Genomic DNA, 25,073 nt, shown 5'->3' on the forward strand with positions numbered 1-25,073 from the left:
GTTTGGTTTTTTTTGAGACGGAGTCTTGCTGTGTCACCCAGGCTGGAGTGCAGTGGGGTGATCTCAGCTCACTGCAACCTCTGCCTCCCAGGTTCAAGCGATTCTCCTGCCTCAGCCTCCCAAGTAGCTGGGACTATAGGCGCATGCCACCACGCTTGGCTAATTTTTGTATTTTTAGTAGAGACAGAGTTTCACCATATTGGCCAAGCTGGTCTCAAACTCCTGACCTCGTGATCTGCCCGCCTCGGTCTCCCAAAGTGCTGGGATTACAGGCGTGAGCCACCGCGCCCGGCCAAAATTATGTTTTATAATTTTCTTTTTTATTTTATTTATGTTATCTACTGCACAAGAATTAAAGCTCTCTGTGTATGGCCAGGCCTGGTGGCTCACACCTGTAATCCCAGCATTTTGGGAGGCTGAGGCAGGTGGATCACTTCAGATCAGGAGTTCAAGACCAGCCTGGTTAACATGGTGAAACCCTGTCTCTACTAAAACTACAAAAATTAGCTGGGCGTGGTAGTGCGTGCCTGTAATCCCAGCTACTTCAGAGGCCGAGGCAGGAGAATCACTTTAATCCGGGAGGCGGAGGTTGCAGTGAGCCAAGATCCCACCACTGCACTCCAGCCTGGGCTACAGAGTGACTCCGTCTCAAAAAAAAAAAAACACCTCCTTGTGTAGAAGTTTGGTATTGTTCACTTCTGCATCCTCAGTGTCTATAAGAGTGAACAAGCTGGGTGTGGTGGCATGCACCTGTAGTCCCAACGACTTGGAAGGATTGCTTGAACCCAGGAGTTTGAGGCTGCAGTGAGCTATAATCACGCCACCGCACTCCAGCCTGGATGACACAGGGAGACCCAGTCTCAAAAAAAAAAAAAAAAAAAAAAAAAAAAAAAGCAGGTGCGGTGGCTCACGTCTGTAATCCCAGCACTTTGGGAGGCCAAGACGGTTGGGTCACATGAGGTCAGGAGTTTGAGACCAGCTTGGCCAACATGGCAAAACCCAGTATCTACTAAAAATACAAAAACTAGCCAGGCATAGTGGCACGCGCCTGCAGTCCCAGCTACTCGGGAGGCTGAGGCAGGAGAATCGCTTGAACCCAGGAGGCAGAGGTTTAGGTGAGCCAAGATAGCGCCACTGTACTCCAGCCTGGGTGACAGAGCAAGATTCCATCTCAAAAAAAAGAAAGACAATCACAAGTTTTTTGTTGTTGTTGTTTTTGAGATGGAGTCTCGCTCTGTCGTCCAGGCTGGAGTGCAGTGGCACGATCTTGGCTCACTGCAAGCTCTGCCTCTTGGGTTCACGCCATTCTCCTGCCTCAGCCTCCCAAGTAGCTGGGATTACAGGCGCCCACCACCATGCCCAGCTAATTTTTTTGTATTTTTAGTAGAGATGGGTTTTCACTGTGTTAGCCATGATGGTCTTGATCTCCTGACCTCGTGATCCACCCTCCTCGGCCTCCCAAAGTACTGGAATTCCAGGAGTGAGCCACCGCGCCCGGCTTGTTTTTTTTTTTTTTTTTTGAAATTTTTGTGTTTTTAGTAGAGACAGGGTTTTACCATGTTGGCCAGGCTGGTCTTGAATGCCTGACCTCAGCTGATCTGCCTGCCTCAGCCTCCCAAAGTGCTGGGATTACAGGTGTGAGCCACTGTGCCCTGACCCCATCTTGTTTTTTTTTGTTTTTTTTTTTTTTGAGAGGGAGTCTCACTCTGCCACCCAGGCTGGAGTGCAGTGGCGCAATCTCTGCTCACTGCACCCTCTGCCTCCCGGGTTCAGGCAATTCTCCTGCCTCAGCCTTCTGAGTAACTGGGATTACAGGTGTGCACCACCACATCCGGCTAATTTTTGTATTTTTAGTAGACATGAGGTTTCACCATGTTGGTCAGGCTGGTATCAAACTCCTGACCTTGTGATCCACCTGCCTCGGCCTCCCAAAGTGCTGGGATTACAGGTGTGAGCCACACGCCTGGCCCCCATCTTGTTTTTAAACTCCAAACTGCCCTTGGTCACTCTTGAGTGTGGAGTGAGCTAACATTGGGAGAAATTTAGTTCATAGTTTAAAGGATAATGGCTCTTCCCTAAACTAAGCTGCTTTATAAAACTAATAAAAGGCCACAAGTTTAAGATTATAAGAGGGGTCTGAATTCTGCTAAAATGTAGGCATAGTTAAATAATTACCAGCCATTGTTCTGGAAGTCACAACTTCCCCAGTTAGTCCTGTAAATAACATCACTATTATAAAACTTAAGATTGGGGCCAGGCACGGTGGCTCATACCAGTACTCCCAGCACTTTGTGTGCCAAGGCAGAATTGCTTGAGTCCAGGAGTTCAAGACAGCCTGGGCAACATAGGGAGACCCCGTTTCTACAGAAAACAAAACAAAACAAAAATAGCAGTCATGGTGGTGCATGCCTGTGGTCCCAGCTACCTGGGAGGCTGAGGCAGGAGGACTGCTTGTGCCTGGGTGGTAGAGGCTGCAGTGAGCCATGATCAACCACTGCACTCCAGCCTGGGTGACAGAGTGAGACCCTGTCTCAAAACAAACAAACAAACAAACAAAAAACAAAACCAAAGAAACCAAAAAAACAAACAAAAAAAACCAAAAACCTAAGATTGGCCTTCCAAGATATCTTTTCAGATTTTTGCATTTCTGACTACTAGGTAACTCCACTTGGATCAGCAACTCCTCTGTGGCCCTTACCCAGAAGCAGACTCAGTGCACAAGGACTGTTTTCCACAGCCCTGTGATTGCATCCCCAACCAGTCGGCAGCACCCATTCCCTAGCCTCCTGCCTCCTATCCTTGAATAACCCTAGCCTTCAAATTTCGGGGGTGGTTGATTTGAGTAATAATAAAACTCCAGTCTCTTGCTTAGCCAACTCTAGGCATATTAAGCTCTTTCTCTATTGCAATTCTCCTGTTTTAATAAATTGGCTCTATCTGGGCAGTGGGGAAGGAGAACCCACTGGGCAGTTATGTACCTATGTAAATGCATACTAAGAATTTTGGAGGCTGGGCACAGTGGTTCACACCTGTAATCCCAGTGCTTTGGGAGGCCCAGGCAGAAGGATGGCTTGAGCCCATGAGTTCAACACCAGCCTGGGCAACATAGTGAGATCTCATCTCTCCAAAAAAATTTTTTTTTAAATTACCTGGGTGTAGTGACAAGCACCTGTAGCCCCAGCTACTTGGGAGACTGAGGTGGGAGGATCGCTAAAACCTGGGACGTGGAGGTTGCAGTGAGCAGAGATCACATCACTGCTCTCCAGCCTGGGTGACCGAGCAAGATCCTGTCTCGGAAAAAAAAAATTTTTTTTTGGAAGAATCTACCTAAAACCTATGACAGTGGTTACTTCAGGGGAAGGGCCTGAGATTGGGAACTGTAGTTGAAGGCTACTTCAGATTTACCTGGAATGATTCTCAGCCAGGGGTGATTCTGCCCTTTTTTTTTTTTTCTTCCTTCTGCTTTTTGCAGAGCAGGGCTACCCCACAGGCAATGCGCCCGAAGTAGTTGATTCTGCTCTCTAGGGATATTGGGCAATGTCTGGAGATATTTTGGGTTATCACAAATGGTTGAGATGGGGGAGGGTGCTACTAGCATCCAGTGGGTCAAGGCCGGGGATACTGCAAAATAGTCCACAATGCTTAGCACAGCCCCCGCAACAAAGAATTATCCAGCCTAAAATGGCAATGGTGCTGAAATTGAGAACCCTGATCTGGATCATTTTAACTTTTATAAGGAGATAGGATTCAAGTATTATTTGCATAATTTAAAAAGGGCTGAAAAAACAATGATGTGGCGGGGAGGAGTCTCTCTGAAACTATTTTGGTCTGGGAGGCTGCCTGATTAAAAAAAAAAAAAGACAGGGATGCTGTGATCCACCGTCCACCTTCCCTTCCCTCTGCAGGACACAGCAGGTATTCCCCTAGCTGCCAGGAGTGTTAGCTGCTACTCCCTCACATTCTGATGAGTCCCTCTTCAGAAATTGCCCTGAGCTGAAGGAAGCTGCCTTGTTCAACAGCCTTTCTCCTTGAGAAGCCTCTGCACTGTTGACATCATGCTTTGTAGCAGGGGTTGGGGGAAGTGTCCTGTGCCCTGTAGGACACGTGGCAGCATTCCTGGCCTCTATCCACTAGATGCTAGCAGCCCCCTCTTTTTTTTTTTTTTTTTTTGAGAGAGTCTTGCTCTGTGCCCCAGGCCGGAGGGCAGTGGCATGATCTCGGCTCACTGCAACCTCTGCCTCCAGAGTTCAAGCAATTCAATTCTCCTGCCACAGCCTCCGAAGTAGCTGGGATTACAGGCGCGCACCACCATGCCCAGCTAATTTTTGTATTTTTAGTAGAGGTGGGTTTCACCATGTTGGCCAGGCTGGACCCCTTCTCCTATTAAAATAACCAAAAATATCTCTGAACATCACCAAATATCCTCTGGGAGGCAAAATTCTCCCCCTCCCTGCATTAAGAACCACTGATGTACCCAGTGCCTGGTTAATACAGCAGCACAAAGGCCCAGCCCCCTGACCTCAGTTTGGAGTATCTCTGAGGGCCATCTCAGGCTTTGTTGAGATTGCATCATAAATTCCTCTCTTTACCCAATCCTCCTTCCCTCTCCCCATCATAGGTGTTGTTTTCCAGAGCATTCTCCAATAAATATTCTGGTGCAAATCTCCCTCCCAGAGACTGTTCCTTGGGGCCACTGACCCAAGACCAAGACGAAGGCTTAGGGGGGTTAAGTGGCTTTTCAAAGGTCCCACAGCAGGCTGGATGTGGAGCTAAGACTGTGACCTTTCTCCTCACTCCACAATTGGTGCTCACAAGCATTGCGCTTCAAGGCCTTATTCTTGGGCTCTGCTGACCACAGCTATCTTTTTCTTTTTTTTTGAGACAGAGTCTCGCTCTGTTACCCAGGCTGGAGTGCAGTGGCATGATCTCGGCTCACTGCAATCTCTGCCTCCTGTGTTCAAGTGATTCTCCTGACTCAACCTCCTGAGTAGCTGGGACTACAGGTGCCCGCCACCATTTCCTACTAATTTTTGTATTTTTAATAGAGATGTTGCCCGCCTTGGCCTCCCAAAGTGCTGGCATTGCAGGAGGAGCCACTGCACCCGGTGCGCAACTATCCTTGATCTCTAGAGGACTTTTCAACCCCCTTGCCTACCCCATGTGTATTTCTATAATAGAAGAAACAGAAGAAAAATTCATAGAATGTGCAACCCAGTGGCATGAACTTCAGCCCTCTTCCTTTGTTGTTCTTAAGCAATATATCTTGTAGTTGTGCTTGTCTGCACCCTCTCAACTGGTTGACAGCCAGCAAGTTCAAACACATAGACTTTTCAACTACAAGTATCTAATATGATTGCATAAAGTCCTTTGTGCTCAAAAAACTTAAAAAATTTTTTTTGTTTTTTATAGAGACAAGGTCTTGCTATGTTGTCCAGGCTGGTCTCAAACTCTTGGGCTCAAGCGAACCTCCCATCTTGGTCTCCCAAAATGCCGGAATTACAGGTGTGAACCACTGTGCCTGGCCAGAAAACTTTTTTGTGTATTTGTTTTTTGTAGAGATGGCAGTCTCACTATAGCCCAGGCTAGTCTGGAACTCCTGGGCTCAAGAAATCCTCCCACCTCTGCATTTTTTGTTTTTGTTTTTTGATAAAAGTATGGATGTGAGATAATGGGCCCATACAAGTATGTGGCTGGGACAAGGTCATTTCTCGGTATGATGGTCCATTTCTAACATCATGGGACAGTTATGGAGGTTAGAATGCTGTGGTCTGGTGTGAGAACTCTTGCTATGCCAATAATAATAATAAACATTAGGCTGGGTGAGGTGGCTCACGCCTGTAATCCCAGGACTTTAGAAGGCCGAGACCAGAGGATTGCTTGAGCCCAGGAGTTCAAGACCATCCCGGGCAACATAGCGAGACGCTGTCCTGTTAATAAATAAAAATAAAGGCTGGGCGCGGTGGCTCACGCCTGTAATCCCAGCACTTTGGGAGGCCAAGGTGAGCAAATCACGAGGTCAAGAGATCGAGACCATTCTGGCCAACATGGTGAAACCCTGTCTCTACTAAAAATACAAAAATTAGCCGGGCGTGATGGCAGGTGCCTGTAGTCCCAGCTGCTCAGGAGGCTGAGGCAGGAGAATCGCTTGAACCCGGGAGGCGGAGGTTGCAGTGAGCTGAGATCGCGCCACTGCACTCCAGCTTGGCGACAGAGCGAGAGTCCGTCTCAAAAAAAAAAATCAATAAAAATATAAAAGAATAATAAACATTAATCGAGCTATTGCTATATACCAAACACTACATACTTATATATATATTTATGTATTATTAAATATATACTATATTAATATATAATACATATAATGTATTTTATAATTAATAGTTAATAGTAACATAATATTAATATTATATTACTGTATGTATATATACTGTATAGGTGTATGTATACTGCATTGTACTTTACTATATTTACTGTTATATATATACATACATATTTATAACATATAAAATAACATTATATATCAAGTTATCAATAGGCAGATATTGTTATTTCACCCACTTACTGGTGAGAAATCTGAGTCACAGAGAAGCTAAGTAACTTACTCAAAGTCACACAGCTAGTAAATGGCAGAGCCACTCCAGCCTGCATGACCGCTCTTCATTTTCAGAAGGTGCGGCTCTAACTCAGAGCACATTTATTCAACTGAATGCATTTATGAGGAAGATCTTGAAAGCCTGTCTCCCTCTCTCCCTCCCAACACATCAAAAAATAATGGAATGTAAAACAATTGGCTGGTCTTCATCTTAAACTGGTCGGCTTAAGCTGGTCAGTGTCAACCAGGTTCAAGTTATGGAACTGTGTGTAAATGTTGAAAATGTATCATTGTATCTTTTTTTTTTTTTTTTAAGAGACAGGGTCTCCATATGCTACTATGACTAGCAGCATAGTCATAGCTCACTGTAACCTTGAACTCCTGGGCTCAGGTGATACTCCTTTCACCTCAGCCTGCTGAGTAACTGGGACTATAGACAGGCACCACCACGCTTGGCTAATTTTTTAATTTTTTGTACATATTGGAGTCTCACTATGTTGCCCAGGCTGGTTTCTTTCTTTTTTTTTTTTTTCTCCTGAGATGGAGTCTTGCTCTGTCACCCAGGCTGGAGTGCAGTGGCGCTATCTCAGCTCATTGCAAGCTCCACCTCCTGGGTTCACACCATTCTCCTGCCTCAGCCTCCCAAGTAGCTGGGACTACAGGCACCTGCCACCACGCCTGGCTAATTTTTTGTTTATTTTTAGTAGAGACGGAGTTTCACCGTGTTAGCTAGGCTGGTCTCAATCTCCTGACCTCGTGATCCACCTGCCTTGGCCTCCCAAAGTGCTGGGATTCCAGGCATGAGCCATGGTGCCCAGCTTGCCCAGGCTGGTTTCAAACTCCTGCCCTCAGGTGATCCTCCCACTTCAGCCTCCCAAAGCATTGAGATTAGAGGGGTGAGCCACCATACCTAGCCCTGTGTATTGTATCTTAAAAGGAAAATGTAATTATGGATTTATGGTATATTTTCTTTTTTTTTTGAGACGGAGTCTCACTCTGTCACCCAGGCTGGAGTGCAGTGGCGCAATCTTGGCTCACTGCAAGCTCCGCCTCCTGGGTTCACACCATTCTCCTGCCTCAGCCGCCTGAGCAGCTGGGACTACAGGTGCCCACCACCACGCCCAGCTAAGTTTTCTGTATTTTTAGTAGAGATGGGGTTTCACCATGTTAGACAGGATGGTCTCGATCTCCTGACCTCGTGATCTGCCCGCCTCAGCCTCCTAAAGTGCTGGGATTACAGGCGTGAGCCACCGCGTCCGGCCAATTTATGGTATATTTTCTTGCATTGAAACTGGAAACTCTTGCAACACATAAGTACATTATTCAACTTCCAGTTATTCAAGAAACACTCTAATTTTTTTAGCCATCATGTATTGCATAAAAACAGTGGGAGAGTTGATCAATTACTCACTGTTTATTTAAAGCTGTGGTTTAAACACTTTCTGTATAGTATCTCTTTATTGAAGGATTGTTGAGAGAGCTGGAATTACCTCTGTCACTCATCTTTGTGCTAAGAAACCCTGATGTGTGTTTTGTATTGGTTAGTTTTTGCTTCTCTACTGATGAACAGGATCTGATCAAGTTGAGCTTGCAGTAGAATAATTCACAGAAAAGTGCAGGGTGCGGTGAGTCACGCCTGTAATTCCAGCACTTTGGGAAGCCAAGGTGGGTGGATCACGTGAGGTCAGGAGCTCAAGACCAGCCTGGCCAATGTGGCGAAACCCCGTCTCTACTAATAGTACAAAAGTTAGCCGGGCATGGTGACGCGTGCCTGTTGTTCCAGCTACTCAGGAGATTGAGTCAGGAGAATTGTTGGAACCTAGAGACGGAGGCCGCAGTGAGCCGAAATCGCTCCACTGCACTCCAGCCTGCGCGACAGAGCAAGACTCTGTCTCAAAAAAGAAAAAAGAAAAAACAAAAAAGAATAATTCACAGAAAAGTTAAGAAAGGTTATCTATGGCCTCTTAATCTTCCTGATCTGAAACGGCAACTTGGGGTAAGGGAAGAATGTTGAGGAAGTGGAGCATAAAAAAAAAAAAAAAAGAGGAAGAAGAGAAAGAGAAGAGGGAGTGAGGGGGAGAGAGAGTGAGGAAGGAAGGGAAGAAGGGAGGGAGGGAGGAAAGAGAAAAGGAAAGAAAGAAGGAAGAAAAAAGGAAGGAAGAGAGAAAAAGAGAAAAGGTTGGTGTCATAAATAGTGTAAATATACTTAATAAGCAAGTGAAATCAAAGGCTGAGTAGTACGTCATACTGATGTCTAGTATTTTAAAATTTAGGCTGGGCACGGTGGCTCACACCTGTAATCCCAGCACTTCAGGAGGCAGCGGCGGATGGATCACCTGAGGTCAGGAGTTCGAAACCAGCCTGGCCAACACGGTGAAACCCTGTCTCTGCTAAAAATACAAAAATTAGCCAGGTGTGGTGGCGTGCACCTGTAATCCCAGCTACTCCGGAGGTTGAGGTAGGAGAATCGCTTGAACCCGGGAGGCGGAGGTTGCAGTGAGCCAACATTGTGCCATTGCACTCCAGCCTGGGAGACAAGAGTGAGACTCAGTCTCAAAACAGAAAAAAAATAAAAAACATTTTTAAAAAAAAGGAAAAAGGAGAAAAATTTGGACACAGAGACATGGACATACAAGGGGAGAAGGCAGGTGAAGATGTAGGCAGAGCATGGAGTAATGCATCTACAAGCCAGGGAAAAACAAAAATTGCTGGCAACCTCTAGAAGGTACAGGTGGCAAGGAAGGAATCTTCCCTAGAGGTTTAGAAGGGAGTCCAGCCCCGCTGACACCTTGATTTTGAGCTTCTAGTCTCTGGAACTGTGAAAGAACATGTTTTGGTTGTTTAAAGCTACTAAGTTTTTGGTAATTTGTCATTGCAGCCCTACGATACAAATATATTCACAATAAAATAAATGAAAATTAAAATTATACTGACATGCCATTTTTAACCCGCCACTTAGACAAAGATCAAAAAGCCTGATAACAGACTAAGTTAGAAAATGTGTTGGGAAATTGATTGCTTTTATTTGCTGCTGGTGGGAGTGAATGTAAACTGATATAATCTCTAGAAATTACTTGACAATTTCTATCAAAATTACAAATGCACATATCTTTTGACCCAGCAATTCTGCTTCTAGGATTTTCTGACATTGGAGAAAGTTGCATACGTGGACAATTGCACATGGACACGTTATGTATCACAGCACTCTCTGTAACCACAGACATTTGGAATGAACACTAACTGTTCATTGTCAAGCGATGTTTGAGTACACTGAAGAACATCTATACTTGGAGTCAGCAAACTTTTTACATAATGGGCCAGAGAGTAAGTACTCTAGGTTTGCAGACCCAGAGGGCTCTGGTGCAATGACTCAACTCTGCAGTTGTAGCTCAAAAGTAGTCATACAGGCTGGGCACTGTGGATCACGTCTGTAATCTCAGCACTTTGGGAGGCTGAGGCGGGTGAATCACCTGAGGTCAGGAGTCCGAGACCAGCCTGGCCAACATAGTGAAACCTCGTCTCTACCAAAAATACAAAAATTAGCCGGTGTGGTACTGGACACCTGTAATCCCAGCTACTCGGAAGGCTGAGGCAGAAGAGTTGCTTCAACCTGGGAGGCAGAGGTTGCAGTGAGCTGAGATCGCACCATTGCACTCTAGCCTGGGCGACAGAGCGAGACTCCGTCTTAAAAAAAAAATGTAGTCATATATCATACATCATATATAAGTGAATGGGCATGGTTGTGTTCCAATAAAACTTTATTTACAAAAAACAGGCAATGGCCAGATTTGGCCCATGAGCCTGTTTGCTGATCCCTGATCTATTCAATGGAATATTATGAGCTGAAAAATTAGTGAGGTGGCTATGTTCTGCTCCACAGTGACTTCCAAGATTAAGTGAAGAAAGCAAGATTCAGAACAGTATGGATTTGTCAGAAAAAAATATATAAATTTATATAAAGAATTATTTGTATATTCACAGGCAATGTCTGGAAGTATCCATAAGAAAGTGGACCCATTACTTATTTCTGGGATAGGAAACTGGGTGGCTCAGTGTCTCAGTGGGGAAGATATTTTCCTTTGTGCTTTTTGAATTCTGAACCAAGCTGAAATTATTACCCATTCAGAAAACAAAATAAAAATGTGAAAAGGTAAGCAAATTTATTTCCCTACCACATACTTTTTCTTTGCAGGGCCAGTGAGCACAAATGGTTTTTAGTTCCGTTTTTGTTTGTTTGTTTGCTTTTAATAGAGATGACATCTCACTTTGTTGCTTGGGTTGGTTTCAAAAAGGCAAATTTTTCTTCTTTCTTTTCTTTTTTTTGGGATGGAGTCTCGATCTGTTACCCAGGCTGGAGTGCAGTGGCACCATCTTGGCTTACTGCAACCTCTGCCTCCCAGGTTCAAGCAATTCTCCTGCCTCAGCCTCCCGAGTAGCTGGGACTACAGGCATGCACCACCAAGCCCAGCTAATTTTTGTATTTTTAATAGAGACGGGGTTTCACCATGTTGGCCAGGCTGGTCTCGAACTCATGGCCCCAGGTGATCCTTCGGCCTCAGCCTCCCCAAATCCTGGGATTATAGGCATCAGCTATCACACCTGGCCGGGTTTTCACATTTTTGGATGGTTGAAAACAACCCCAAAAAGAATAATATTTTGAGAAGGGGGTGGGGGAAAAAAGAATATTTTGTGACAAAAGAAAATTATGTGAAATTCAAATTTCAGTGTCCACAAATAAAGTGTAATGGAACACAGCCCTGCCTATTCATTTGCATTCTGTCTATGATTGCTTTGCCTTACACTGGCAGACTTGAGTCATTGTGACGGAGAGCCCATAAAGCCTAAAATATTTATCTGGTCCTTTACATAAACAGTTTACAGATTGTTGTTCTAGATTAAAGAACAAAACAATCTTTCACATGCTTCTACAAATAGAAAGTTCATATTTAATATTGAATGACCATTCCATGAGGACTTTAAAAAATGAAATGGCTTATGAAGAACTCAAAATTAAATTGTGAATTTTCTTGCTTCTTCTTAGAGAATATTTTAAAAAGCTGTGGCCTCTAAACAAAAATAAAGCACTTATCCCATCTGTCTGGGTCTCACTGTGCACCGTGTTGGTGAGGCCATCAGAATGAAAATGTATCACAACCCACCTTCCCCTTTATTTTTATTTCTTATTTTATTTTATTTATTTATTTTTTTGAGACGGAGTCTTGCTCTGCCACCCAGGGGCGCGATCTCGGCTCACTGCAAGCTAGGCCTCCTGGGTTCACGCCATTCTCCTGCCTCAGCCTCCTGAGTAGCTGGGACTACAGGTGCCCGCCACCACGCCTGGCTAATTTTTTTGTATTTTTAGTAAAGACGGGGTTTCACCGTGTTAGCCAGGATGGTCTCGATCTCCTGACCTTGTGATCCACCTGCCTTGGCCTCCCAAAGTGCTGGGATTACAGGCGTGAGCCACTACGCCTGGCCTTATTTTTATTTTTAATTTATATATATATATATATTTTTGGGGGGGGGGGCAGGGACAGGGTCTCACTCTGTTGCCCACACTGGAGTGCAGTGGCGTGACCTGGGCTCACCACAACCTCCGCCTCCCGGGTTCAAACGATTCTCCTGCCTCAGCCTCCCGAATAGCTGGGATTACAGGTGCGTGCCACTGCTGCCGGCTAATTTTTGTATTTTTAGTAGAGACAGGGTTTCACCATGTTGGCCAGGCTGGTCTTGAACTCCTGGGCTCAAGTGATCCTCCTGCCTCAGCCTCCCAAAGTGCTGGGATTACAGGTGTGAGTCACTGCATCCGCCCCTCCCTGTCCCTTATTTGACAGAAAATTCAAAGTACTTGATGTTAACAAAAAGCTGAGATGACCTGGAATTGCTTTTAATTTTTACTAAGAATGAATCAAAGCTTTCTGTTGTTGTTTTGATGGTGGGAAGAACACACTTGTGCCTTTTTTTTTTTAAATCACCGATAAAACAAGGATACAAGGAAACTCTGCCTTCTGAAAGTTTTGTTCTTGGTTTATAAGAGACAATAAACCCACATAAAAAGTTATGTAATAAGAGGACAGTCAATAACTATGTTTTCAACCTTTTCGGCAATGATCCACAGTAAAATATATGTTTTATACTATGACTCAGTAGATACATATATACACACACAAAAAAATAAAAATATGGGGCTGGGTAAGGTGGCTCACACCTGTAATCCCAGCACTTAGGGAGATCAAGGTGGGTGGATTGCTCGAGCCCAAGAGTTTGTGACCAGTCTGGACAACATAGCAAGACCCCGTCTTTACAAAAAAATAAAAAAAACTAGCCAGGTGCAGTAGCATGCCAGTGGTTCCAACAGCTGGGGAGACTGAGGAGGGAGGATCACCTGAGCTCAGGAAATCGAGGCTGCAATGAGCCATGATCATGTCATTGCATTCCAGCCTGGGCAACAGCAAGAACCTGTTTCAAAAAAAGAGAAAAGGCAAAAATTTTTTTTTCTTGAGACAGAGTCTCACTCTGTTGCTCAGGGTGGAGTACAGTGGTGCGATCTTGGCTCACTGTAACCTCCACCTTCCAGGTTTGAGTGATTCTCCTGCCTCAGCCTCCCAAGTAGCTGAGAATACAGGTGTGTGCCACCAGGCTTGGCTAATATTTGTATTTTTAGTAGAGATGGAGTTTCACCATGTTGACCAGGCTGGTCTTGAACTCCTGACTTCAGGTGATCTGCCCACCTCGGCCTCCCATAGTGTTGGGGTTACAGGCATGAGCCACTGTGCCCAGCCAGAAAAGACAAATCTATTTTTTTGTTTGTTTGTTCTTTTTTTGAGTTGGAGTCTTGCTCTGTCGCCCAGGCCGGAGTGCCGTGGCGCCATCTCGGCTCACTGCAACCTCCACCTCTCGGGTTCATGCCATTCTCCTGCCTCAGCCTCCCGAGTAGCTGGGATTACAGGCACGTGCCACCACACCCGGCTAATTTTTGTATTTTTAGTAGAGAAGGGGTTTCGCCTTATTGGCCAGGCTGGTCTCGAACTCCTGACTTCGTGATCCACCCGCCTCAGCCTCCCAAAGTGCTGGGATTACAGGCATGAGCCATCGCGCCCAGCCAGAAGAGACAAATCTATTAAGGCAAAAAGTACATTAGTGGTTGCCTGGAGCTGGGAGTGGGATCAGAGATTAAGGATAAGCAGGCCTGAGAGTTCCTGCTGGGGTGATGAAAAAGCTGCATTATATTAAAAATTTACTAAAAATAATCGAATTACACAAACAAAAGCAGTAGATTTCATGGCATGTAAATTACATAGCAATAAAACTGTCTTTTAAAAAAGAGAGGAAGAAAAGAAGAAGCAAAAGAAAAGAGGCCGGGCACAGTGGCTCATGCCTGTGATCCCAACACTTTGGGAGGCCAAGGCGGGTGGATCACCTGAGGTCAGGAGTTCGAGACCAGCCTGGCTAACACGGCAAAACCTTGTCTCTACTAAAAATACGAAAGTTAGCTGGGTGCTGTGGCGTGCGAGTGTAGTCCCAGCTACTTGGGAGGTTGAGGCAGGAGAACCGTTTGAACCCAGGAGGCAGAGGTTGCAGTGAGCCGAGATCACACCACTGCACTCCAGCCTGGGCAACAGAGCAAGACTCCGTCTCAAAAAAAAAAGAGAGAGAGAGAAAAAAAAAAAAAAAAGAGGAAGAGGAAGCGGAAGAATAACCACCCAAACCAATCGGTCTGCAGGGCTTGGGATTCAGCTTTTAAAAATTACATACATTTGCCCAACTCCAATCTTCCAGTTGTTCCCACTCTCCACAATTTCTTGAAGATTACTGCCTGCATTTCCTCGGTCACATGTGCCAATTATTTCAGTCCTCTGGAATGTCATTCATCAGGTTTAGAAACTTTTCGACAAGGTGAATATGGTAACGAAGTCCAAGAGTTGGATGTTTTCCCGCCCTTCTGAACCTCTTCCCTTCGCATACTCTTCTCCTCTGATGACTTCTCCTTTAGTCCGTGTTTACATTTTGTGATTTCTTAGACGTGAGCTCCTAGGCAACAGAAAGAGCTGGGGTAGTTGCGTGCACAGTGAGATGCACCTTAGGAAACTGTGGGCTTCTGGGGTGGCCTTCCCCTAAGTTCCCTGTGTGACTGTTGTAGATGTTTGTAGCTCAGTCTACCTAGCAACCCCTCCTCCTTCTGGAAACAGCTCTAGGTTTCCTGGGTGGGGTTTCCTTCTCCCCCTTGGTGTCTGTGGTCCTGGTGAGGCAGACCGCCACCCATGGGCTCCAGGAATAAGCAGGCGACTCAGGTCAATCCGGACACCAACATAGCTCAGCTCTGGCTGTGGTGATTGGCTGAAAGATGGACATGTGACCTAAGAGAGTCCAGTGAAAGTCAGTTCTGAGATGTTTTCTAGAAATACTGGAAAAGAGATGTTCTTTTTCTACCATGATTGCTTTGTGGTGGGATGTAAGGTTGACTGCTGTGAGCCTCGCTGGGCCACCATATGGGAAATTACCAAGAATGAAGCATTTACCTTTCCTATAGTCCCTGAAAAAAAAAAATAAAAATAAAAATGAAAATAAAAATAAAAATGAAGCTAACACAGGCCGGGCACTGTGGCTCATGCCTGTAATCCCAGCACTTTGGGAGGCCGAGGTGGGCACATCACCCGAGGTCAGGAGTTCGAGACCAGCCTGGCCAACATGGTGAAACCCCGTCTCTACTAAAAAAATTACAAAAATTAGCCAGGCGTGCTGGCATGTGCCTGTAATCCCAGCTACTCAGGAAGCTGAGGTAGGAGAATTGCTTGAACCCTGGAGGTGGAGGTTGCAGTGAGCTGAGATGGTGCCACTGCCCTCCAGCCTGGGCGACAGAGTGAGATCCGTCTCAAAAAAAAAAAAAAAAAAGTTAAATAAAGGAAATGGATCAGGAAATAGAGACAGCCAGACGCAGTGGCTCACGCCTGTAATCTCAGCACTTTGGGAGGCCGAGGCGGGTGGATTGATTGAGACCAGGAGTTTGAGACCAGCCTGGCCAACATGGTGAAACCATACAAAATTAACTGGGCGTGGTGGTGCATGCCTTTAATCCCAGCTACTAAAGAGGCTGAAGCAGAAGAATTGCTTGAACCCGAGAGATGGAGGTTGCAGTGAGCTGAGATCGCATCACTGCACTCCAGCCTGGGCTACAGAGCGAGACTCTGTCTCAAAAAAAAAAAAAAAAAAAAAGAAGCTAACACAAAGGAAATGAATCAAGAAATAGGGAAACAGTACTGATCTCACTGTGTGAGCCTCTGGGTCCATCCATACCTAAAGCTGGTACAAGCTGTACCCTTGCTATCAGGTGAGCCTGTGAATTCTCTTTTCATAACCAATTTGATCGTGATTTTTGTCACTTGTTGGCAAGAATAACACAGTGTCTGGCCAGGTGCGATGGCTCACATCTGTAATTCTAGCACTTTGGGAGGCCAAGGGCGAGGGATCACTGGAGGTCAGGAGTTTGAGACCAGCCTGGCCAACATGGTGAAACCCCATTGCTACAAAAATACCAAAATTAGCTGGGTGTGGTGGCAGGCACCTGTAGTTCCAGCTACTCGGGAGGCTGAGGCAGGAGAATCGCTTGAACCCGGGAAGTGGAGGTTGCAGTGAGCCGAGATCATGCCACTGTGCTCTAGCCTGGATGACAGAGTGAGACTCTGTCTCAAAAATAAATAAATAAATACATAAATAAAATAAAATAAAAATAAAATAATGAATAAAATTTTTAAAAATGTAAAAAAACCCATCCAGGAATGGCCAGTTATTTCCCAACATCCATTTTTTGCCCTTCTTCACATTAAGAGAGTCCAATTTTTTCTCTTTTTTTTTGTGAGGGGACAGGGTCTCAGTGTGTTACCGAGGCTGGAGTGCAGTGGAACAATCACAGTTCACTGCAGTCTCGACCTCCTGGACTCAAGCCATCCTCCCACCTCAGCCTCTCAAGTAGCTGGGACCAGAGACACGTGCCACCACACCTGGCTAAATTTTTTTTCTTTTCTTTTTTTTTTTTGTAGAAACGGTCTCACTATGCTGCCCAGGCTGTTCTTGAACTCCTGGACTCAAGTGGTCCTCTTGTCTCAGCCTCCCAAAGGGCTGGAATGATAGGCATGAGCCACTGTGCTTGGCCAGATTCCAATTTTTATTCTAGCACGTTGCCACCTAGAACTTAGAATAAAGGTTAAATTTCCCGGTTTCCTTTGCAGTTAGGTATAGATGAAAAAGTAGTGTCACTTTATAGCTTAGTCATATGTCTAAGTTCTGGCCAATGAGATGTAAGTTGACATGAGTGGAGGCTCCCAGAAAGGAAAGGGTGCACCCTTTTCTCCCTTCCCGCTTCCTGCTGCCAGGAATGCAGATTTGATGGATGGCATTCCAGCCACTATCTTGAGTCATGTGGATTTAAGAATGGAAGCAGACAGACAGAAACAAGGTTTCTGGGGAAAGAGGACCCACCATGCCAGCCTTGGAGAACTAATCTATAGACTTCTTTTACATGAGAAGAGAAATAAACTTTTATCTCATTGAAGCCACCAATCTGTCCTGTCTCTGTTACTATATCCAAAGTTGAGTCTGATTGACAGTGCCATGTTCCTCACACCCTGGCCACATGTTGTATTATCAGTTATTTTTTCATTTAGCCTATCTGACAGGTGAAAAAGTAGTGTCACTTCATAGTTGTAAATTCATTTCTGATAAGAGCTGATCTTATTTTTGTAGATTTTGAGCCATTTGTGGGATTTTGGGTCTGTGAACCATCTTCCCTCCCTTCCCCTCCTCTTCTCTCCCCTCCCCTCTCCTCTCGTCTTTCTTTTCTCTCCCTGTCTCTCTCTCTCCCTTTCTTTCTTCCTTTTTTTTTTTTTTTTCCAGACAGGGTCTGGCTCTTTCACCCAGGCTGCAGTGCAGTGCTGCAATTATGAATCACTGCAGCCTCCACCTCTCTAGGCTTAAGCAATCCTCCCATTTCAGCCTCCCAAGTAGCTGAGACTATAGGTGTGCGCCACCATGCCCAGCTAACTTTTTTAGGGATGGTGTCTTGCCGTGTTGCCCAGGCTGGTCTCAAACGGCTGGGCTTAAGCAAGCCTCCAGCCATGGCCTCCCCAAGTGCTGGGATTACAGGCCCCATTTCTTTCTTTCTCTCTTTTTTTTTTTTTTTTTTTTTTTTGAGATGGAGTCTTGCTCTGTCGCCCAGGCTGGAGTGCAGTGGTGCGATCTCGGCTCACTGCAAGCTCCGCCTCTGGGGTTCACGCCATTCTCCTGCCTCAGCCTTCCAAGTAGCTGGGACTACAGGCGCCCACCACCTCGCCCGGCTAATTTTTTGTATTTTTAGTAGAGACGGGGTTTCACCGTGTTAGCCAGGTTGGTCTCCTGACGTTGTGATCCACCTGCCTCGGCCTCCCAAAGTGCTGGGATTACAGGCCCCATTTCTTTCTTGACTCCATTCTCAGTCAGCCCCATTCCTGTGATTCCAAGATGGCTGCCAGCAGCTCTGGACTTTCATCCCACCTCTCAGCACCCTCAGCAGGGAGAATGCCGCTTTCCTGGATGGTGCAACAAAAGTTTAGGGATTGTCACGAGAAAGAGAGGACAAGCCACAGACTGAGAGAAACATCTGCAAAAACATATCTTGATAAAGGTCTTTTATCCAAATAACACAACAATCCGGCTGGGCACAGTGGCTCTTGCCTGTAATTCCAGCACTTTGGAGGCTGAGGCAGGTGGATCGCCTGAGGTCAGGAGTTCGAGACCAGCCTGGCCAATACGGCGAAACCCAGTCTCTACCAACAATATAAAAATTAGCCAGGCGTGGTGGTGCATGCCATAATTCCAGCTACTCAGGAGGCTGAGGTAGGAGAACGGTTTGAACCCAGGAGGCAGAGGTTGCAGTGAGCCGAGATGGCGCCATTGCACTCCAACCTGGGCAACAGAGCGAGACTCCGTCTCAAAAAAAAAAAAAATTAATTAATTAAATAAAAATAAAAATAAAAAAACACGTAACTCAACAATCTGAAAATAGAGCTGGGCATGGTGGCATATGCCTGTAGTCTATTCAGGAGGCTAAGCTAAAAGAATCACTTGAGCCCAGGAGTTCAAGATTGTAATGTGCTATGATCCTGACTGTGAATAGCCACTGCACTCCAGTTTGGGCAATATAGCACGATGCTGACTCGTTTAAAAAAACACGAACGTGAACGACCTGATTAAAAAATGAGCAAGGCCAGGCGTGGTGGCTCATGCCTATAATCCCAGCACTTTGGGAGGCTGAGGCAGGTGGATCATGAGGTCAGGAGTTCAAGACCAGCCTGGCCAAGATGGTGAAGCCCCATCTCTACTAAAACTACAATAATTAGGCGGGCATGGTGGCAGGTGCCTGTAATCCCAGCTACTCAGGAGGCTAAGGCCGGAGAATCGCTTGAACCTGGGCAGCAGAGGTTGCAGTGAGCCAAGAACACACCACTGCACTCCAGCCTGGGCAACAGAGTGAGACCTCGCCTCAAAAAAAAAAAGCCAGAGGTGGTGACTCATGCCTGTAAATCCAGCACTTTGGGAGGCTGAGATGGGTGGATTGCTTGAGCCCAGGAGTTCGAGACCAGCCTAGGCAACATGGCAAAACCCTATTTCTACAAAAAATACAAAAAATTAGCTGAGTGTGAAGGCACGGCCCTGTAGTCCCAGCTACTTGGCGGGGCTAAGGTAGGAGGATTGCTTGAGCCAGGAAGGTAGAGGTTGTAGTGTACCGAAATCACACTACACTCCACCCTGGGTGATAGAGTGAGACCCTGTCTCAAAAATAAATTAAAAAAAAATTAAAGGCCTGGCACAGTGGCTCACGCCTGTAATCCCAGAACTTTGGGAGGCCGAGGCAGGTGGATCACCTGAGGTAGGGAGTTCGAGACCAGCCTGACCAACATGGACAAACGCTGTCTCTACTAAAAATACAAAATTAGCTGGGCATGATGGCACACATTTGTAATCCCGGCTACTCGGGAGGCTGAGGCAGGAGAACCGCTTGAACCCGAGAGGCAGAGGTTGCAGTGAGCCGCGATCCTGCTATTGTACTCCAGCCTGGGCAACAAGAGTGAAACTACGTCTCAAATAAAAAAAAAAAAAAAAAGAAAAAGAAAATTAAAATTAAAAAATAAATGGGCAAAAAACTCTGAACAGATACCTTACCAAAGAAGATATACACGGCCGGGCATGGTGGCTCATGCCTGTAATCCTAGCACTTTGGGAGGCCGAGGTGGGTGGATCATGAGGTCAGGAGTTCAAGACCAGCCTGGCCAAGATGGTGAAACCCCGTCTCTACTAAAACTACAAAAATTAGCTGGGTGCGGTGGCAGGTGCCTGTAATCCCAGCTACTCGGGAGGCTGAGGGAGGAGAATCACTTGAACCCGGGAGGCAGAGGTTGCAGTGAGCCAAGATTGTGCCACTGTACTCCAGCCTGGACGACAGAGCAAGACTCTGTCTCAAAAAAAAAAAAAAAAATATATATATATATATATATATACACACACATAGCAAGACTCTCTCAAAAAATATATGTATATACAGATGGCAAATAAGCACATAAAAAAGTGCTTAATGTCATATGTCATTAGGGAATTGCAAATTAAAAAAATGAGGTACCACTACTCACCTATTAGATAACAGCTAAATTTTTTTTTCTTTGTTTTGAGACAAGGTCTCATTCTGCCACCCGGGCTGGAGGACAGTGACGTGATCACTGATCACTGCAGCCTTGACTTGCTGGGTTCAAGGGATCTTCCCACCTCAGCCTTCTGAATAGCTGGGACTACAGGTGCACGCCACCCTGCCTGGCTAATTTTTAAATTTTTTGTAGAGATGGGAGTCTCCCTATGTTGCCCAGGCTGGTCTCAAACTCCTGGGCTCAAGTAATCCGCTGGCCTCAGCCTCCCAAAGTGCTGAGATTACAGGCATGAGCCACTGTGCCTGGCCTAGGATGGCTAAAATTTTTTCTTTTCTTTTCTTTTCTTTCTTTTTTTTTTTTTTTTGAGGCGGAGTCTCGCTCTGTCGCTCTGTCGCCCAGGCTGGAGTGCAATGGTGATATCTCGGCTCACTGCCACCTCTGTCTCGCGGGTTCAAACGATTCTCCTGCCTCAGCCTCCCAAGTAGCTGGGATTACAGGCAAGTGCCACCATGCCTGGCTAATTTTTGTATTTTTAGTAGAAACGGGTTTTCACCATGTTGGCCAGGATAGTCTCGATCTCCTGAACTCATGATCCTCCCACCTCAGCCTCCCAAAGTGCTGAGGTTACAGGTGTGAGCCACCATGCCTGGCCGAATGGCTAATGACTAAAATTTTTAAAAATGACAACACCAAATGCTGGTCAAGATGTTGAGCAACAGGAGCTCTCATTCATTGCTGTGGAAATGCAAAATGGCACAGCTACCTCGGAAGACAGTCTGATAGTTTCTTCTAAAACTGAAATGCTCTTCCTACATGATCCAGCAATTGCACTCCTTGGCATTTAACCCAAGTGAATCGGAAACTTACATCCACACAAACACTCGCACACAAATGTTTATAACAGATGTATTCGTAATTGCCAAACTTGGAAGCAACCAAGCTGTCCTTCAGTAAGTGAATGGATAAACTGTGGTACGTCCAGACAGTAGAATATTATTCAGTGCTGGCCGGGCGCAGTGGCTCATGCCTATAATCCCAGCACTTTGGGAGGCCGAGGCTGGCGGATCACTTGAAGCCAGTAGTTCATGACCAGCCTGGCCAACATGGCGAAAACCCATCTCTATTAGAAAAAAAAAAAAAAAAAAATAGCCGGGCATGGTAGCACACACCCGTAATCCCAGCTACTCAGGAGGCTGAGGTGGGAGAATTGCTTGAACCCAGGAGGCAGAGGTTGCCGTGAACCAAGATTGCACCACTAAACTCCAGCCTGGATGACAGAGCAAGACTCTGTCTCAAAAAAAAAAAAAAGAATATTATTTAGTGCTAAAATGAAATAAGTCGCCAAAACATAAAGAGGTGTGGAGAAACCTTGCCTTAGTCTGTTTTCTGTTACTATAACAGAATACTAGAGACTAGGTAATTTATAAAGGAGAGAGGTTTATTTAGCTCAAGATTCTGGAGGTGGGGTTGTCTAAGATCTGCAGGATATGGGATTCAGCTTTTAAAAACTGAGCTTCTGGTCGGGCTTGTAGCTTACACCTATAATCCCACTACTTCAGGAGGCTGAGACAGGAGGATCACTGAAGGCCAGGAATTTGAGACCAGCCTGGACAAGATAGGGAGACCTCTTCTCTACAAAAATAAAAATAAAATGGGCCAGGTGCAGTGGCTCACACCTGTAATCCCAGCACTTTGGGAGGCTGAGGTGAGCGGATCACAAGGTCAGGAGATGGAGAACATCTTGGCCAATATGGTGAAACCCCGTCTCCACTAAAAATACAAAAATTAGGCCGGGCATGGTGGCTCATGCCTATAATTCCAGCACTTTGGGAGCACTTTGGGAGGCTCGTTCAATTCGAGCACTTGAACGCCTGAGATCAGGAGTTCAAGACCAACACGGTAAAACCCTGTCTCTACTAAAAATACAAAAATTAGCTGGATGTGGTGGCACGCACCTGTAATCCCAGCTACTAGGGAGGCTGAAGCAGGAGAATCGCTTGAACCCGGGAGGCGGAGGTTGCAGTGAGCTCCAATCATGCCATTGCACTCCATCCAGCCTGGGCAACAGAGTGAAACTGGGTCTGAAAAAAAAAAAAAGAATTAGCCAGGCATGGTGGTACGCACCTATAGTCCCAGCTACTCTGGAGGCTGAGGCAGGAGAATTGCTTGTAACTGGGAGGCAGAGGTTGCAGTGAGCTGAGATTTCACCACTGCACTCCAGCCTGGGTGACAAGAGTGAAACTCCATCTCAAAATAAATAAAATGGCTGAGCATGGTGGCTCATGCCTGTAATCCCAGCAATTTGGGAGGCCGAGGCAGGTGGATCATTTGAGGTCAGGAGTTTGAGACCAGCCTGGCTAACATGGTGAAACCCCACCTCTACTAAAAATACAAATAAATTAGCTGGGTGTTGTGGCACACGCCTGTAATCCCAGCTACTGGGGAGGCTGAGGCAGGAGAATCGCTTGAACCTGGGAGACACAGGTTGCAGTGAGCTGAGATCACACCACTGTACTCCAGCCTGGGCAACAGAGTGAGACTCCATCTCAAAAATAAATAAATAAATAAATAAAATAAATACAAATAAAAATAAAAATTAGGTGGACATGGTGGCCTGCAGTCTCAGCTACTGGGGAGGCTGAGGAGGGAGGATGGCTTGAGCCCAGGAGTTTGAGGCTGCAGTGAGCTGTGACAGTGCCACTGCATTCCAGCCTGGGTAACAGAGGAAGATCCTGTCTGTAAAAAACAAGCAGGCTGACCATGGTGGCTCATGCCTTTAATTCTAACACTTTGGGAGGCCAAGGTGGGAGGATTGCTTGAGCCCACGAGTTCAAGACCAGCCTGGGCAACATAGTGAGACCCCATCTCTACCAAAAAATTTAAAAATTAGCTGGACATTGTAGTGCATGCCTGTAGTCCCAGCTACTCAGGAAGCTGAGGTGGGAGGATTGCTTGAGCCCAGGAGGTCAAGGCTACAGTGAGCTGTGATCATGGCACTGCATTCCAGCCCAGGTGAAAGAGTGAGACCCTGTCTCAAAAACGAATGAATGGGCTGGGCGCGGTGGCTCATGCCTGTAATCCCAGGACTTTGGAAGGCCAAGGCGGGCAGATCACGTGAGGTCAGGAGTTCAAGACCATCCTGGCCAACATGGCAAAACACCATCTCTACTAAAAATACAAAAAGTAGCCAGGTGTGGTGGTGCGTGCCTGTAATCCAAGCTACTTGGGAGGCTGAGGCAGGAGAATTGCTTGAACCTGGGAGGCAGAGGTTGCAGTGAGCCGAGATCATGCCACTGCACTCCAGCCTGTGCAACAGAGCGAGACTCCGACTCAAAAAAACAAAACCAAACAAAAAAAAAGAATGAACAAAGAAAAATTGAGCTTCTAGTGAGGGTCTTGTGCTATGTCATAACATGATACAGAAGAGGAAGCAGACATGTGCAAAGTGACCAACACAAGAAGCAGTCTCGCTTTTTTTTTTTTGAGATGGAGTTTCACTCTTGTTGCCCAGGGTAGAGTGCAATGGCACAACCTCGGCTCACTACAACCTCTACCTCCCAGGTTCAAGCAATTCTCCTGCTTCCTGAGTAGCTGGGATTACAGGCGTGCGCCACCACACCCGGCTAATTTTGTATTTTTAGTAGAGACGGGGTTTCACCATGTTGGTCAGGCTGGTCTCGAACTCTCAACCTCAGGTGATCCACCCGCCTCGGTCTCCCAAAGTTCTGGGATTACAGGCGTGAGCCACCATGCCCAGCCTGCAGTCTTGCTTTATAACAACCTGCTTTGGAGCTGATGAATCCAATCCCATGGGATCGAGAACTCAAGGGAATGAGAAAGACCTTAATACATCTTAATGACCTAATCACCCCTTAAAGGCACCACCTACCAACACTACCTCATTGGGACAAAGTCACGACATAAATTTGAGTGGGGACAAACTGTATTTAAGCCATAGCAAACCTAAAATACTTATTATCAAATGAAAATAAGCCAATGTGGAAAGACTACAAACTGTATGATTCCAATTATATGACATTCCGGAAAAGGCAAAACTATGGAGACAGTCAAAATATCAGCAGTTTCCAGGGGTTAGGAAGGAGGAGATGTAGGTGGTACACCGAGGATTTTTAGGGCAATGAAATCATTCTGTCTGATACCATAATGTGCTTACATTTTACTATACATTGGTCAAAACCCATAGAACTGCATAATACCAAGAGTGAACCCTAATGTAAACTATGGACGTTGATTCATAATGAGGGGTCATGAGGGTTCATCAATTTTAACAAATATACCACTCTGGTGCAGGATGTTGATAATCAGGGAGGCTGTGCATGTGAAGAGACTGGGTATATGGGAACTCTCCATATTTTTTATTTTATTTATTTATTTATTTATTTATTTATTTATTTATTTATTTTGTGATGGAGTCTCACTTTGTTGTCCAGGCTCGAGTGCAGTGGCATGATCTCTGCTCACTGTAACCTCTGCCTCCCAGGTTCAAGCGATTCTTCTGCCTCAGCCTCCCGAGTGGCTGGGATTACAGGTGCCCACCACCATGCCCAGCTAATTTTTGTATTTTTAGTAGAGACGGGGTTTCACCATGTTGGCCAGGCTGGTCTCGAACTCCCAACCTCAGGTGATCCACCTGCTTCACCCTCCCAAGGGCTGGGATTACAGGCGTGAGCCATGGCACCCAGTCTATTTATTTATTTATTTGAGACAGGATCTCACTCTGTCACCCAGACTGGAGGACAATGGCACAATCTCTGTTCACTGCAACCTCCGCCTCCCAGGCTCAAGCGATT

The 25,073-nt window shown here is 45.9% G+C and overlaps 1 annotated feature.

Annotated features, from left to right (window-relative positions):
- Window positions 4,284–4,784: an enhancer, noted in NCBI's record as "H3K27ac hESC enhancer chr20:46057414-46057914 (GRCh37/hg19 assembly coordinates)". NCBI's record gives its function as "activates a minimal SCP1, AML or CMV promoter by ChIP-STARR-seq in naive H9 embryonic stem cells {active_cell/tissue: H9 hESC(naive)}" and the evidence as "EXISTENCE:reporter gene assay evidence [ECO:0000049][PMID:30033119]".

The sequence above is a fragment of the Homo sapiens genome, chromosome 20 (genome assembly GCF_000001405.40).
Source record: "Homo sapiens chromosome 20, GRCh38.p14 Primary Assembly".
In the NCBI taxonomy this organism is placed as follows: Eukaryota; Metazoa; Chordata; class Mammalia; order Primates; family Hominidae; genus Homo; species Homo sapiens.